This window comes from Homo sapiens, chromosome 20 (assembly GCF_000001405.40).
Source record: "Homo sapiens chromosome 20, GRCh38.p14 Primary Assembly".
Classification (NCBI taxonomy): Eukaryota; Metazoa; Chordata; class Mammalia; order Primates; family Hominidae; genus Homo; species Homo sapiens.
The window spans coordinates 11,857,597-11,875,184 of record NC_000020.11 but is presented as its reverse complement, the minus strand read 5'-3'; the positions used below and the strand labels follow the sequence as shown (position 1 = coordinate 11,875,184).

At 37.6% G+C, this 17,588-nt stretch overlaps 1 long non-coding RNA gene across 1 annotated transcript in view; it reads left to right on the top strand.

Moving 5' to 3' along the window:
* Nucleotides 1-4,469: 4,469 nt before the first annotated feature.
* LINC00687 (long intergenic non-protein coding RNA 687) overlaps nucleotides 4,470-17,588 on the top strand; it is a 60,729-nt gene continuing 47,610 nt past the window's right edge. Inside the window, exon 1 of the long non-coding RNA NR_110635.1 lies at nucleotides 4,470-4,540. This is a non-coding gene — a long non-coding RNA (long intergenic non-protein coding RNA 687). The remainder of the gene's footprint in view (nucleotides 4,541-17,588) is intronic.

The following is a 17,588-nucleotide window of genomic DNA, read 5'->3' as shown; positions in this document are numbered from 1 at the left end:
AAATGGGTGAAAAACTGGACTATTTTCACACTCCATCACACAAGTAAACTGAGACAAGTCATGTAATCAGTTCTGCTGTCAATACAACGGGGGTGATTATAACCCAGAAGCCTCTCCCAAATTTTCCTAATGGTTTAAAATGTAATAAATAGATTGAAAACACTTAAGTGCTTCAAAACTGTTAAGTGATATATACATGTGAGATCTTGCTATTATTATTATTATTATTTATATTATTCTTTTTATTATATTCACATGGTTGGCTCTAAGCAAAATCCTGAGATGAGTGATCTTGGCTTTCAGCGTTTCTGGCTCTGACAAGTGGCCTCATGCTTTATGATATTAGGCCTCTCAGGAGCTTCCATTATAATACTCTACCCATTTTTAGGAATCACCCAATAAAAGAATAATCAAAATGAACAAATGAATGAATGAAGATTGAATGAATGAATGAATAAATGAAGTTCTCAAGAAATGGCTAGTCAACCCTTATTCTTCCCTGCCTTCCACCAGAATGAATTGAGTACCTTCTCTGTACAAAACTCCCTTAACCTGTCATTACTAAGTTCCAGGAATGCAAATTAGAATGGGGACAACCTCCTCCATGGAGGAATTCACAGTCTATGGGTGAAAAACACTTCCAAACAGAAATTTCCTTACAATATCTGGAGAACTACATTGGAGATATGTGCCAATGAAAGTGAGTTTTTATGGGCCTTCCTAGAGAAGTAAGAAGATTTCAAAGAAGGCACTTTGGAGCTGAAAGGAACTGGGGGGAGGGGGTGTTCCCAGGCTCACAGGAAGGGGGTGCACATTCCAATTCGAGGCAATGGCCTGTGGAAATGCCTCTGGGAGAGGTGGCATGTTTGGACGTTGTTCAGTAAAGGTGGAATTTATGAGGATCATAGGTGTGATGGGAAATGAAGTTAGAGAGGTGCGTAGGGAGCACTAAAGGGTTTACATGAATGGCATGCTCTGATTTTAGAATCAGACCACAATAAGGAAGTTGGACTGGAGCTGAAAATGATCAGTGACAGGGAGGACAACAGGGCTGGAATTTCAAGAGTTTGGGTGAGATATACCCTATCCCTGATCCTGGGCTATGACAGGAGGGATGAAGTGAGAGATAAGGGTGGATATGACATACACTTACTAGTGCTAATGGGAGAATGTGATTGACTTGATGAATAAGAGAGTTATACCCTCCCACAACAGGAGCATGAAAAGGATATTCAGCCAATCACTATGTGAGTCAGTCAACAGACTGACATTTACTGAGAGCTTACTTTGGGCAAACCAAGAAGTTAGTCGTTGTGGAGCATCTATAAAGATGATGAAGATAAAGACCTCTGACAATTAGTAAAAATTAGCTGTATGTCACAGAATCAAAACAAGAGACTTTATTAAGGAACACACAATGTGCTACGATATCATTGAGAAAAGAGTGATTGGACTTAATTAACAAGCATTCATTTTGGGGAGCTGAGAAACAACATTCTAACCCTAGATTGTTCTTGCCTCTGTTCATTGCCATAATGAATTCTATTTCCTTAATGAGAAACCAGCTAACTATCTTTTATTCTCTCTAATATTTGTAAAATAAATAAGACTCAAAATTAGAGTTCTAGAATCTTCTTACAGAAACGGCTGGGCCAGCACAGTGTCTTTGCTCAGTGATGGTTGCTTTGAGGGATGTGCTTATCTTCCAAGGGTTCCTTACCTAAGAAAGATTAGGGTAACATAACTAACTCCGGGCAGATAGACTCAGGGAGAGATGAGTTAAGATTCCAGGTGCTCATTGTCTCAGCTTTGCAAAGCAGTGCAAGACCATTCCTTGAAGTCCTGCCAACTACCTTCAGAAGTGAGCTTTTGTGTTATTCTGTTCAGTATCTTTGGTTGGATTCTCCAGAAGCAGGCTTTGGGATGAATAGTCATGTTCAAATTATTAACAAAGAGATGTTCCCCAGGAGAGACCAGCAAAGGAGTGAAGGAAGCAGAGCAAGGAAGGAGAATAAGCTACACAATGCTGTGATTACAGGTGAACTCCCTGCTTTGCCTTGATTCAGTGGGGGAGTTCTGGAGAATAAATTACACCTTAGGCCTTGTCAAGCCTTGGAGCAAAGGAACGAGGCTTTTACACTCTGGGACCAATCAGTCTTTGGCTATGGGCTGCCTATGGCGAACACGCCATACTCCCAGGCACTTCTAGCTTGCTATCAATGGGGAAAGTGGTTGCAGAGCTCAGGGGCAGCCTTTGGAAGGAGTTCCCAGGTGCAAAGTGTAAGAAACAAATGGATTTTAAATTGGGTGAGGAGGGACATGAGGAGTTTGAGGGACAGTGAAGAGGCAGTGTGTTTACTGAATTGTAGGTCCTATTGGAATTAAAGAATTGCCAGTACCAAGGTAGTAGGAAATGGCCTAGAGAGAGGTAATATCCACTGAGAGAGTAGAACCCTTGAAATTGGGATGAAGGGGGTTTTCCAGCTATTGTTAATGAGAAAGTCTGGGGCAATCATTCTCAACAGAGAAATACTGCTCAGTCCTAGGGCATGTCTCAAAAAATTTCAGAGGCTTTAGTGGTTGTCAAAAGAATGGGAGGTAACAGTGTCATTTAATAGGCTAGAGACAAATATGTAGATGTTTTCATCCTCACACAGTGAAAAAGTCCCCAGTAGCATGGCAATCAAATATTCCACCAGACATTCATTGAGGCAAAAAAACCACTTACGTTAACCTAGAACCTAACCCCATTTTACATATCCACACAAATTACACATTTTGCATGGTTTTAGCATAGACTGATTTTTCTAGAAATGGAATGGTAGTGTAAGAAGATTGTACTTTGTTATTTGCAGAGCTTTAACAAGAAATGTTCATCCTTTTGGCAAATCACAACACTGATAGTAACTGTAACTTGTGATAACTAAGTGACCAAAACAACACACCAATTTTGTATTTTTTTGGAATTCATGGTGATTTTTTTGTGAGTAGGTACAGGAATAAACTTACGTGATCCTCATTTCAAGGAGAAGAAGGAGAAGTTGAAGAAGGAGGAGAAGGAGAAGGATGAGAAGAAAAACAAGAAGAGGAAGGAGAAGGAGGAGGAAAATGAGAAGGAGAAGAAGAGAAGGAACAGCAGCAGTTGCAGGAGGAGGAGAAAGAGGAGGAGGAGGAGGAGGGAGTGTGCAGAAGCTGGGGGGTAAATGCAATCTTGAGAAATTCAGCACAGTTCCAACAGTGTGTGTTATGCCTGGGCACGAAGGGTCCTACCTCAGCAAGATCAAGGGTAAAGGTTAGAGGAGGACCATCCTCCTGCTGGCTGGTTAAATGTTTTTGTACCCTGTCTTTCTTTATTTCCTTCTTTTGAGAATTTGAAGGTTACTTGGGGGTAGAAAGGAATAAGGGCTATAAGTTTACTTACTTATCTAAAACATACATTTTAAGAATTTTCTCAGAGCCAAGTCAATTCTGAAGCAAATAATTTACAACTGGAGTAGAAGAGCATAACCTTCTCAGAGGACATTGACATTTACCTACAAAATATTGAGAGCGCCTTTAGGCAGATTACATATACCCTCTTCTTAGGGAAAAGGGAGCTGGTATTTGTGGGGCTGATACATAAAAGGACTAAGTTTCTCAGCTGCAAAGCAGAGTCCAGTGACATCAAGTTGGATAAATGCTTTCATTAGGACTATGGAAACGTCTGTGGAAACCTGTGTAACCCCTAAACAGCACATTAACTCAGGGTATGTCAGCATTAGGTCATCTCTTTGGTCAGGTAGTTGGAAAGAACTTAGCAGAACAATGTTGAAGAAAAAAAATAATTTCCTGAAATAAAATGTCTACAGAGAATGATAAAGCTTATTTGCTGTCCCTTTGAAGTATAATTGATATGCTAATCAGGCTCCATAATGAGTTTTCTTTTCCTTCTCCTAGTAATATAAATTTGTAAGGAAGCTCGAGATTGATTTATTTTCTTAAGCAAAGGGTAGGCAGGCAATATAATTGAATAAAGAAGGTAAGTTAGACATTATTAAATTTGCCCTTTAGTAAAGGAAGCAGTTACTTTTCAGCTCCTGCCTATATTTGTCATGTAGGAATGAGAGGTCTCATCTTATCAGAACTTTTGATGATTCAAGAAAACTTGGAAATTTGAACACTCCCAGTGTTAAAATTTTCTCAACTACTAAAAATCTGCTATGCTACCCAAGCCTCATAAATAGCAAGGGCATCATTTTATCACAGAATAAATATAAAATTATTGCTAAACTTTGAAGTTTTTGTTGTAATAAAGTTGATAATTAACTCTGATATTTAAGTAAATTTGATTTATTGCTCACTTTTAGTTTAGCTTGGGTTTTTTCCTTACCTCTGCCCACTTTTAGTGTTACGTTTTTACTCTTGATAGAAAGTCAATGTCAAAATCAGTATGTGTCAATCCCTGCTTTGTTTTCTAGGGATTCCAATGTTGGAAGCATTTTTAGCGTACAACAACATCCAAGTGGATTACTATGAATGCCTAGACCTCTATGGCAAACAGGTCAGTAAAAAGAACAATTCATGGAATCTAAAACTTGTATTCTGTTTCTGGTAGCCCCTATTTTCTAGTCTGTAAAGGCTGAGATAACATCAGATTCTATAAAAGCTGTCTTTGAAGAACTGCAGAACAGTCTATTTGAATATGAATAACTTTAAACCATATGACCTAAAATTTTATGCTTCTCAATGGAAAACAGAAATTTGCTACGGTCTCTTAATTTTGCTCCAATACACATTGTGTTGTGGAAAAACTCTCCTAAACTAAATTTGTCCTCTGCTTTCACATCACAATAATCATCAACACAGAAGACCTCTGTGACCAAAGGTATGGGGTTTTTTTTTTTCCCACACACCAAGCAGTGGATACCACATGAATGTCCTTCAATTCAGTTCTGACACTATCTACCCAGAGATAGCATCAGATCCTACAGGTTAAGGGTTCAGTCCCACAAGACCATCCCCTCTTTCCCCCCAGTCTCAAGTCTGGGCCTCCAAAACTTCTGACCGACCAGCTTCAAGTTGGATTTCCCACTATCCCTTCTTTGGATTCAATTAATTTGCTGGAATGGCCCACAGAACTTACATTTACCAGTTTATTATTAAGGATACTGCAAAGGATACAGATAAAGAGATGCATTGGTACACACCCTCCAGGAAGCTCCACATCTTCAGCTATCCAGAAGCTCCTCAAATCCTGTCCTTTGGGCCTTTTATGGAGGCTTCATCAGTTGTCCATGATGGAAGCATGAGCAACTGTGTCAAAATGTGATTGGACAAAAACAGTATGATCTAAACCCAGAAAGACCTGTCTGTTCAGATTCCTCTAGGTCTCTCCATGCAGCATTCCCTTCTCTAGACTATGGGCAGGACTCTCTGAAATGAGGGTCTTTTGACTCACAATCAGATTAGAGTCCTGCCTTGGGCAGGTGAAAGAAAGTCAGGAGAAGGCCAGAATGAGAGATTCTGTTTCCTGAGGCCTAAAGTGCCTCAAGAGTATAGAAAGTACTGTAGAAGTTAGGAGCCAGGAACTGTGGATAAAAACCAACATATATATCATGACACCACACAAATTTAATTCAGTTAAACAATTCAATTAAAAAATGCAAAAAATTACTTATCAGATTATCAATGATTAAAAAGACTAAAAATAACTACTGTTGATATGGATTCTGAGTGTTGGGTTCTTCTTCACTCCTGGAAGTGTAAATTGGGGTAACTTTTGGAAATTCAGTTTAGTAATATGTTCAACAGTATGTATCAAATTTAAAAATACATACATATACTGTTTGATTCAGCAATTAAGCTTCTAGAAAGCTCTTTGCTGTTCTGCCCATGCTAGTAAACAAAAGGAATAATTTAAATGTTTATTAATGGGAGAATAGTTGAATGGGTTTTGGCACAGTCCAATCAGTGGAATAGTCTGCATTTACTGAATGTAAAATGATGTTTATTTATATTTGTTAATGTGAAAGTAATGTATTATATGTGAAACAAATAAAGTAGAATTTAAAACAATGGTTTTCTTATGGCCCCATTTTTGTTAAAGTACTTATACTATTATGAAATGGTCAAGAGATGAAGCAGAGAGAAGGAGAAAGAGAGAAAGAAAGAAAGAGAGAAAGAGAGCGGGAAAGAGAAAGAAGGAAAGAATATCCTATATACTGGCAGCCCTTGTTTGGTATGGTAGTGTAACACTGTAAAAATGACTACACAAATTGTTTCTTACTATCTAAGTTATAAACAGAAATGAAATACTAGTAAACCTAATACAGTCATGTGCGGCTTAACAATGAGAATACATTCTGAGAAATGCCTCCTTAGGCAATTTCATCATTGTTTGAAAATAATGGTGTGTACTTACACAAACCTAGATGGTATAGCCTGCTATACACCTAAGCTGTATGATATAGACTATTGCTCCTGTGCTACAAGCCTGTACAGCATGCTACTGTACTGAGTACTGTAAGCAGTTGTAACCCAATGGCACATATCTGTGTATCTAAACATAGAAAATGTAGTGTGCTGCAGTACATGGTAATGGTACAATGGCTATGATGTCACTGGGTGACAAGAATTTTTCAGTTCCACTATAATCTTGTGGCACCACCATCATTGCGGTACATTGTTGACCAAAATGTCATTACACAGGGCATGACCGTGTCTGTTTAATATCCTCTAATATAACACATTAGAAGCATTAGGAATTAAAGTGTTTTATTTATTAATAAAAATCATAGACCAGGTGTGGTGGCTCATGCCCATAATCCCAGCACTTTGGGAGGCAGAGAAGGGAAGGTCACTTGAGGGCAGGAGTTCGAGACCAGCCTGGTTAACATGGCAAAACCCTGTCTCTACTAAAAATACAAAAATTAGCCAGGCATGTTGGTGCATGCCTGTAATCCCAGCTACTCGGAGGCTGAGGCACAAGAATCTCTTGAACCCAGGAGGTGAAGGTTGCAGTGAGCCGAGATTGCACCATTGCACTCCAGCCTGGGTGACAGAGCAAGACACAGTCTCAAAAAAAAAAAAAAAAAAAATTATGAAGGGTAGTTTAAATAGTGCCTGCCTTCAGGTCATATAACTTATGATATGGAGCAAGCATCTTTTCTATGCCTTGGCCAATGGTCATATTCCCTTTAAGTTTGGATGGGCTTCCAACATGAAATCCTTTGCCCTTTCAATGTCATGAAATATCTCTGTGAGTTTCTTTAATTCAAGTATTTTTACTGGCATCACCGTCTCTGGGACATCTTCGTCCTTCCTGTCACAACTACACTCCTCATTCATGTCTATACGCTTGCCTCCACTAAGCTCCTATCCAGTGGCAACAGTACCAGTGTTCCCAGAGTTAGCTATTTCTTCTATAATTCCATTTACATTCTATTTGAATTGCACTTCCGACATGACGACTTTTTGTTTTTTTGCTGATCTTTCACTTTATTGGTCAATTCTCTCTTTCAATTATTCATTTTTATAAAATGTTACATGGGTTTATCACTGGGAGACACAGAGGCAACACAGCTATAAGCTTTGCTGTCTGTGTCTGAGCTGAATAACAAATGTGCAGTGACTAATTACCGACAGACTTTGAAAGAGGTGTTGTCTTTGGTCACTGATTTTTGAGGTGCATATGTTATGTGCAAAGGGATTGGTGGACAGAAGAGCAAGAAGTAAAGTTTGTAGTTTATGCAATTACTCACAGTTAACATAATGCAGTAACTGAAATTTCAAACTTCTTAATGGGGGACTGACTTATAACTGAACTATGGCAACAGAAAGTTTTGCATATTGGAACCAGGCATGTCAAGGACTGCAAGCCTAAGAAAAGCCTGGAAAAACATGCAATAAAATATAAAGAGGAAGTGGCTGTTCCTGGGTCTTACATTTCCAGATAGTTGTATTTTGCGTTTTTTAAAACATTCTTATTTGTATTTTAAAATTTCCTACAATTAATATATATTATTTGTATAATACAAAATAAATAACATTGAGGAAAAATTTTAGTACTTACTTTACTTCTATAAAATCCAGTTAATTTTGATGTGAATCAGTAAACTTAATTTGATTCAGATAACTTGAGGATAATTTAGTTAATAAAAAGTTTTAAATCATTATTTTAACCTTCCTCACTGTGAAATTAGTTTTGATTTGAATGAGTACATTTGATTAAATTAATTTGAGGAGAAAATACTCTATTACAATATTTAGTCTTTCTTTTCAAGAACATTGATTGATATGTTTCTCCACTTATTCTTCTCTATTTTATGCCATTAGTGATATTTTACAGCATTTTTCATATAAGTTCTCCATATACCAAATAAGTGTATTTTTCCTACTGATACCGTGAATGATGATCTTTTCTTTCCCATTAGATTTTTGAAATAGGATAGCTATTGATTTTGTCTACTTAATCATATTAGTTGTGACCATACAAAACTCTCTTGTTAATACAATTTATAACTAAAGTAGACACATATTTATTATGTCTATTGACAATCATAATTACTTACATGATGGGTGAACTTACCCTGTTCCCTCGTAAGGCTTATGTTTCTTTTTTTCTTTTTCTTTTTTTTTTTTTTTGAGATGGAGTCTCACTCTGACGCCCAGGCTGGAGTGCAATGGCTTGATCTCGGCTCACTGCAAGCGCCCCCTCCCGGGTTCATGGCATTCTCCTGCCTCAGCCTCCAGAGTAGCTGGGACTACAGGCTCCCACCACCACGCCTGGCTAATTTTTTGTATTTTTAGTAGAGACGGGGATTCACCGTGTTAGCCAGGATGGTCTCGATCTCCTGACCTCGTGATCCGCCTCCCTCGGCCTCCCAAAGTGCTGGGATTACAGACGTGAACCACCCCACCCAGCCAGGCTTATGTTTTAATTCTGAGCTGAATCCCATTCTCCTTTTCCACTCAAATATCCCACTCTGTCCTGCCTCACCAAATTTCCTCTTCTACTGTATCATTCCTGTCATCATGCAAACATCCGGTAAACTCACTCATATTAAAAATAAGATGAAATAAAAAATAAAATCCTTTTAACATTCTATATTCTTTCCAACTTCCGTCTGATTTATCTCTTTTGTATCAAAATTCATCAGAAGAGTAGTTTCTGCCTGCTTACTCTCTCTCCTTGTGCAGAAAAGAGTTTATATGAGAAGCCTGACTTTAAATGGCCTGCTTATAATGGAATTTGGATTTCAGGAGAGTCTCCACCACCATTAACCATAAGAGTGGTTCATTGTATACAAACTGCTTACATAAACAATATGGTTCATGTCAGACACCTACTGTCACTCTGGGAGTTTGGAATTTTGGTATGCATCAGTCAAAGACTGTCCACATAACCAGTGTCCGATAAAACCTTTGGGTTGTGAGACTCTAATGAGATTCTCTAGTTGGTAAAACTTCTCACAACTCATTGCTGGGGGAATTAAATATGTGATTCTACTGAGAGAGAACACTTGGAAGCCCATGCCTGATTTCCCCCTAGACTTCACTCCTTACACGTCTTCCTTTTGCCAATTGTGTTTGTTTTGTGTCCTTTTCCTGCAATAAATCATAACTGTAAATACAACTATATGCTGAGCATTGTGCGTTCTCCCTGAGTATTGTGATCTTGGGGACTCTTACAGTCCTCACTTCCCATTCTCTTTTGAGCCCATTTATTAAGCTTTTCATTTCAGTGTCTCTGTGGAATTCACTTTTATCAAGGTCGTAGTGACCTCCAGATTGTCCAGTCCAATGGCCATTTTCCAGTCCTCATCTTATTCTATCTTCAGCAGCATTTGAATCAGGCCATCATTTTCTTCCTTTTGAATTACTTTTGTTCATTGATTTCTAGGGCAGCACATTATTCTGGTTTTCCTCCTATCACATTGGCATGCCCTTTTCAGCTTCTTTTTCTGGATGTTGCTCTGCTTCCTGAACTCTACATTAGAGATGGCAGTTTGGTTGGCATGATGGGGCTGAATGACTAATTTTTTTTTTTTTTTTTTTGAGACAGAGTCTTGCTCTGTCACCCAGGCTGAAGTGCAATGGTGCGATCTTGGCTCACTGCAACCTTCGCCTCCTGGGTTCAAGAGATTCTCCTGCCTCAGCCTCCCAAGTAGCTAGGAATAGGCATACGCCACCATGCCTAGCTAATTTTTGTGTTTTTTTGTAGAGATGGGCTTTCACTGTGTTAGCCAGGCTGGCCTCAAACTCCTAACCTCAAGTAATCTGCCCACCTTGGCCTCCCAAAGTGCTTAGATTATAGGTATGAGCCATCACACTTGGCCTGAAAGTCTAATTCTGATGGCTCAAGAGAAGAAGAAGAGAAATTAAAGGCAGTATAGAGAAAGAGGAGACTTTTTTTTTCGCAAAGCTTTAGTACAAAGGGGAACAAAACTGACATACTACCAGAAATGGAAATTGGAACCCAGAAAACATTTTTAAGTTGTGAGAAATTACGATATGTTTGAATGTTGAAGGGAATGATTCAATTGTGAGGAGGGTAAAGACAGGATGCAGGAGAGAGAGAAATTGCGAATATCCAAGGCACAAGCAGAGGGTTTATCTTAGATGAGAGGAGGAGAAACTTTATCTTTAATTAGCAGAAAAGAAACCAGGATGCATGGGCCCTTTTGCTTCTAAATTTGTTAAAGTGGTGGGAACTTAAAGAGTGTTTTAGGGTGCTTCAATTTTGGCATTAAAATAAATGAGTTATGAGCTGAGAGTGGAATAAAAGGCACGCTGGAACTTTAAGGAGCAAGAAGCCTATGGAAGTAAAACAAGCTACAGAACTTAGTGAAGGATAAAACATGGGGAGTGAGGGTTGTATAGATTTCCACTAACCTTCTCTCGTGCTCCTGATGGAAATCTTTCCCAAAATTGATGTCAGTGAGATCTGCTTTGTGACTAAAAAATTTGTTAATATTAATTTATCAATATCACTAATATCAGTTTATTTGTTCTTAATACTGCTAGTGTGCAACTTACCTGAAGGCATATGCAATATTTTGTAGGCCAATTTAAATGCAGTCAGAAGGATTAAGCTCTTCTACTTTCATTCTATATCATTTGATTTAGAACTGACTTGGTATGATGCAAGAAGAAATATATATTTAATCTCTTCCAGGTTCCTGGCACAGAGCTTCTAAAATCCTTTAGAAGATGGTAGGGAGTGAGGAACATCTGTTGTTATAATATTCTATCTTAGTCCCTGGCTTCTTATAGAATAGTTTCTAAGACTCTTGGAATCTCCAGAGAGAAATAAAAGTGTCTTTTTTTATGCTAATGAGATGACTGATGGCAGAGGTTCCTAGATAGCTTTAGGAACGGGGCTGGTCACCAGAAAGACCAAGACATGATTAGAGAGTTAGAACTTTTAACCTTACTTTCTGACCTCTGGGGAGGGGACAAGGGTTGGAGACTGTCTTAATCACCAATAGCCAACGGCTTAATCCATCATACCTAATTAAGCCTCTGTAACCCTGAAGGATGGATTTTGGAGAGCTATCAAGTTGGTACAAGAGACCATATGCCAGGAGGGTGGCATACTCCAATTCCATAGGGACAGAAGCTCCTGCTTTCAAGACCTTTTCAGATCTTGCTCTATGGACTTCTTCTGGCTGTTTTTCTGGATCCTTGAGAATATCTTTCATAACAAACTGGCAAACATAAGTAAATATTTCCCTGAGTTTTGTGAGACATTCAACAAGTTATCTAACCTGATGTGGGAAGTCTGGGAACCCTTAATTTATAGCCAGTTGATTAGAAGTACAGGACAACAACCTGGGACTTGCAGTTGGTGTATAAAATTGACAGAAGACCTGAGGGACTGAGTCCTTAACCTGGGGGGTCTACAGTAAATATGGGTAGTTAATGTCAAAATTCAAACTCAGTTGGTGTCCCCAGAGTTGGAGAATTGGTTGATGTCTTAGTCTGTTTTGGCTGCCATAGCAAAATACCTCAAACTGGGTAATTTATAAACAATAGAAATGTATTGCTCACAATTCTAGAGGCTGGGAAGTTAAAGATCAAGGTGTCAGCTGTTTTGGTGTCTAAGGGCCCAATCTCTTCTTCCAAGATGGTGCCTTGTTGCTGTATCTGCTGTGCCCACATGTGGTGAAAAGCAGAAGAGTAAGAGAGCCCTCCCTTCAACCCAGCATCCTTTTATAAGGATGCTCATTCCATTCATCAGGGCAGACCCCTCATGACTTAATCACCTCCTAAAGGCCACACCACCTCTCAATAGTGTTGCATTGACAATTATGTTTCAAAATAAATTTGAGAGGGAATACCATCATTCAAACAAGTGGTTGGTATGAAAAAGAAACCTTACAAATTTGGTGTCAGATATGTTGTAAATAGTAGATAAACTGTTTTTGCTGTTGCTGTTTGTTTTTGTTATTCACCTGGCTAGGACAACATTCTCAAAGATTTTGAATTTGAGGGGATTTGTAGTGAATATGCAAGGATGGAGGAAGGCACTTGTATATCCAGGTGTGGAGGTCAGAGAGATGACGTGAACTGTTGCTAAAACTCTAAGTCATTTGCTTGTAGGTAGTCCTTAAAACTCTGAGTTGTAATACTTGAGCAAGACTAAACTGGGAGAGTAAATGCCTTGCTGACCATTTATATTTACTGGCTGGGGAAAAGAGAATGAATCTGCAATGAACTCAGAAAAAGATTCTGAAGAGGTAGGTGGAAAACCAGAAAAGTATGGTTTCCTAAAGCAAGGGGAAGATAGTACTTTAAGAAGGAGGGGACTGTTAACAACTCCAAATGGGGACTAAGGCTTATATTTGATGACTTGTGAAAAAATAATCTTTGGATATGTGCTCAGATAGACCATTCATGACAAGAACAATTTCAATGAAGTCACAGGGAAGAAAGAAAAATTGAAACACATTTTGCTTTTATTCTTCAAAATGAAATGCCGCTACCACTTGGATACACAGAGATCCAAGGTATATGGAGGCCAATGTAAACAATTCTTCAGGAAATCCGTGAAGTTGACAAGAAGGAGAGCGATAAAAGGTGGAGAGAAGATGTTGGTCTGAGGGGAGTTATGTTTTAAATGAGAAGACTTAAGTTATGTTTTAAATGAGAAACTATTGGGAAGAATTAGATTTAGAGTGTAAATAATAAAGCAAAAAAGTTTAACTGTCAATATAATACTCCTGAGAAGCTGGGAAAGGATAGGAGTTCAGGCAGGGGTTGAAGTCTTGGCCATGGTTGGGAAGAGAGGCACTGCTCCCCTTGAAATGGAAGAGGGTGGAGAGGGAATGAATGCAGATGGGTGCAGATCTGATATCCCTTCACTCCTCGAATGTATTTTCAGTAGTAACTTTGAGCCAGGCACTGTCTGAGGTACTTGAGATGCCTCTGTGAATAACAGAGTATAAGATCTTAAAGGGCTTACACATTAAAAGGTAATGTCGCTGCACTTTTCTCTGAGAAGTTGAAGGTCAGGCTATTGATAGGAGGAAGTTGGCAGGGAGTTGGGAAGGCCCAGTGGGAAAATGTAGAAGCCTTGTCATTGAGGACCAGACAGAGAAACTTGGCAGGATTTTTCAGGCATTGTTGAGGCCGTTTTAAAGTTGACATCTTTGCCTATATAGGAAAACCATTGTGTGAACTGTCATGAAACTTTCCTGCTTAGCTTGGCTCTTAGACATGTCTAGAAAAAGCAAAGAGGAAATGTTAGCTAAAAAAGACTCTCCTGCAATTAAATTTATTTTCCTCCCTTTGTTTAGATGCCAGATTTTATTTCTAATACCTGTTTATGTTTTATTTCCTTTTGTGCAGTTGACAACAGATTATCGGCTGAATTAGTGTGTTTGAATAATTTTCTCTTTTTCCTTTTTATCTCCAATATTGTTTTTATCTTGATTAGTTCAACTCTAATTAACTTTGTGTTCATTTTAGTGCTTTTTACCCTCAGCTTCTTTTCTTGAATACCTAATTAATTTATTTTAATTTTTCTTGCTTAATAATAGAAAGCATTTTAGACTATACTTTTTTCTGAGGACAATTTTAGACTTATGCAGTTGATTTTGATACATAATGTTCTTTAATTTATAAAATGTTTTTAATTGTACTCTTTAATCTTTTCTTTTGTCTCCTCTCCAAGAATTATTAAAAACAAGGTTTTTGGATTTCCAGTTAGTTAGATTTAGCTATGGTTATTTTATCCTTATTGTATTTTTAGTTTTATTATGGTATGGTGAAAGCATGTAGGTCGCACAATTCCCACATGATAGAATTAATTAAGGTTATATTGATATCTATATATGCAATTAAACTTTGTAGCCATTACACTGATAGACATTTAAAAATAATGTATTTTCTTTATAGGGTAAAAATTTAGATAACCATTCCTTTGAGCTTCTAATATATGCAAGGTTTTATATTAGGTACTGGGAATGAAGGGAGAACAAGACAGGATTTCTGTACTCATGGAACTTATGTTGTAGTCTAAAAGACAGGAGGAAAAAGCAAATGTCTACTAAAATATTTACAAGCCTCTATAAGTGTTTTGAAAGAAGAAAGGAATAAACGCAGAGACCAAGCTGCACTCAATTTGTATAGGGTTATCTGGAAAGGCTGTCTAGAAGAACTGACACTCTGGTGGAGTCCTAAAAAACTACAGGCTGCTGGCCAATTAGAGCTTTGAAGAGAGATCATTTGTTAGAGGGAAACCAGGAGAGGAAAAGAGATCTGGGGATACTGGCAAGGGAGTGATTACATTGAGAAGTCGTGGACATAGAGTTGGACAGGAGAGAATAAAAAAGTTATGGGGTCCATATTTTGGCAGTCTCTGAAGAGTTAAGGAATTGTAGCAGTGGGGGTTTATGAGTTTGTGAGTGAGGTAGAGCAAAGATGGTACACAGAGATTAAGATGTTTAAAATTACGATTTCAGAAATAGTGCAGTTTCTGATGATGACAATATTTAAGATGTGACCAGTGGAGTGGGTGACTAAGTTGGACTAGAGAAAAGACATTGATGGTAAAGAGGTAAGGATCCAGCTGTCTGCGGTGTTGGAGAGTTCACCTATGTGAGATAACTGCAGAACTTCCTTCGGGCGGAGAGGAACACCAAAAGCCAAAACAAGTTTATTGTCTATATTATTCAGACCCTCTGTATTTCAATTAAATTTTATTTAACTGATTTTTTGATTCTCAGAGACATGTTAAATTTTCCTACTATGATTGTGATTTGTGCTTTACACAGTTGATTCTCCCTATTTAAGGTAGTTATGCACCATTAATATGGTGCAAACACAATTAGCAAACACTGAAACATTGCTCCTAGGGGAAATGTTGTATTAAGTTCCTGCAAGCTACTGGTCATATTTTCATCAACTAACCAATATGCAATTGTGTTTTACATATGCTTCTGCTTAAAGACATCTTATCTTATATATATATATATATGTATTTTGATTCATTAATATTGAATGGCCAATGGCACTATAACTCATGCCTTAACAAAGCTTATCTTACACACATAGTTTCTCCGTAGGGCACATTCAAGCTTTCTTGAGCTTAGAAGCATGAGACACTAATCTTGGGGGCCACTTTAAACAGTTAATCAATAAGAAAAAAGCACAGAAATGTAAAAAAAGGTGCTAAATAGACCACAAAAAAGACACTTGTTTAGAGTATGAGAACTGAAATAAGAAGGTAGAGCATTGCTTAGTTTGACCACAGCAAAAACTTGCACATTTTTTGCTGCTCTGTACTTGTCAGTGAATGACTGAAAATGTACAAGTATTGATTTTAGGGGTTGCAAATACATTTTAGCAAGTAGACAAACACAATTATTGACTTCGTGAATAATAAAAAACAACTATGCATTTTTAGATTGTTAATTGTTAGAGTCAGGACTATACTATTTTCAATGTGTTTTTAAAAATAATTTGGAAAATAAAATGAACCCTTTGGCTCAAATTAAACCTTTCTGTCTCAAATTTTATTTTGGCTAGTGCTTATACTGCTATTCTTTATTTGCTTGTTGTTTATGTGTTGTTTGTATTTTCATGAAATACACTTCTCCATATAGCTGAATTTTGTTTTGTTGTTTTCTTATTTTTTAATTAAAATTTTAAATTTAACTCTATAACTTCTTTTTTTATTTGTTGTCATAAAGTTCTCTCCTAAATTTTATTCTTGAACAATCTGAAAATCACTGTCTTATAACAAATAGCTATAACTAAAATTTTTATAATTGTTATGGCTGATACTTCTGTGGCACTTTATAGTCTGACTTTTGGACTGCCAGATTTGATAGGCAGAACATTTCTATTGGAAATGTAGTGCCCCATGCCTCATGTCTTGTTCTAATCCCATCCCTACCAGTCCCCTCAGAGGTAATCAGCTTAAATGCCCTGTTTTATCATTCTCCTTTGTTTTTCATTTATCACATATATTTTTATGCCTAAACAGCCTGTTGCTTCATATTGAATGTTTTAAACTTTATATCAACGGAATAAAACTACCTGTATTTTTCTGTGACTTACTTTTTTTGGCTTAATATCATGTTTTTGAGGGTCATCCAGGTTGATATATTCAATTGCTCATTTTTACTAAAAGCCGAATTATGCAACTTATTTATCCAATCTACTTTTACCAGAAATTTTTGTCTGTTTTGTGTGTGTGTGTGTCTGTGTGTGTGTGTGTGTGTGTGTGTGTGTGTGTGTGTTTGCAATGTTATAAACATTCTTGCATAAATCTCTTGAGGCAAAGCTGTAATGGTTTCTCCCAGGGTATATTCCTAAGAGTGACATTGTTGGGTCACCTTTAACTTCCTTAAACAATGACAAATTTTTCTCGAAAAGTCTTGTTTCCTTCTGTGGGAAATGCCTGTTATGTCTCTTGCTCACTGCCTTTTCATTTTGAGTTGCAGGAAGAGAATAGATGGATGAATAGTTGGATGAGTGGATGAATAAATGAATGGATAGATGAATGAATATAGATAGACAGATATTCTAATATTTTGGGTCAGTTTTATGTGTTGCAAATACCTTACAGTTTTTAGCTTGACTTTTCACTCTCGTTTCTGTCTTAAAAAATGTTTATTGTATACACATTTACATTATTATATATAACACTTACTATCCTATAGTAACTCATTAATTCTCATCTCAACTTGATGTTATGGATACTATTATCAACCCCACTTTACTTTTGAGGGAACAGAGGCAGAGAGCATAAAAATAGCCCAAGTTTTTGGTGGTAAGTGACAGAACCAGGATTCAAAGATGAGCCATTACTCTCTAGAGTATGATATACTAACCCCTATTCTGTACACTTCTCTATGATGGACATAAAAATCACTTTCTTCGGGAGGCTGAGGCAGGAGAATGGCGTGAACCTGGGAGGCGGAGCTTGCAGTGAGCCGAGATCGTTCTACTGCACTCCAGCCTGGGCAACAGAGTGAGACTCCGTTTCAAAACAAAACAAAAAAATCATTTTCTTCAATGATTGCACTTTCCATGTCTTAATTAAGAAACCCTCCCTTATCCCAATGTAGTAAGTAAAGGTTTCTGGGCTGTCTCTGAGA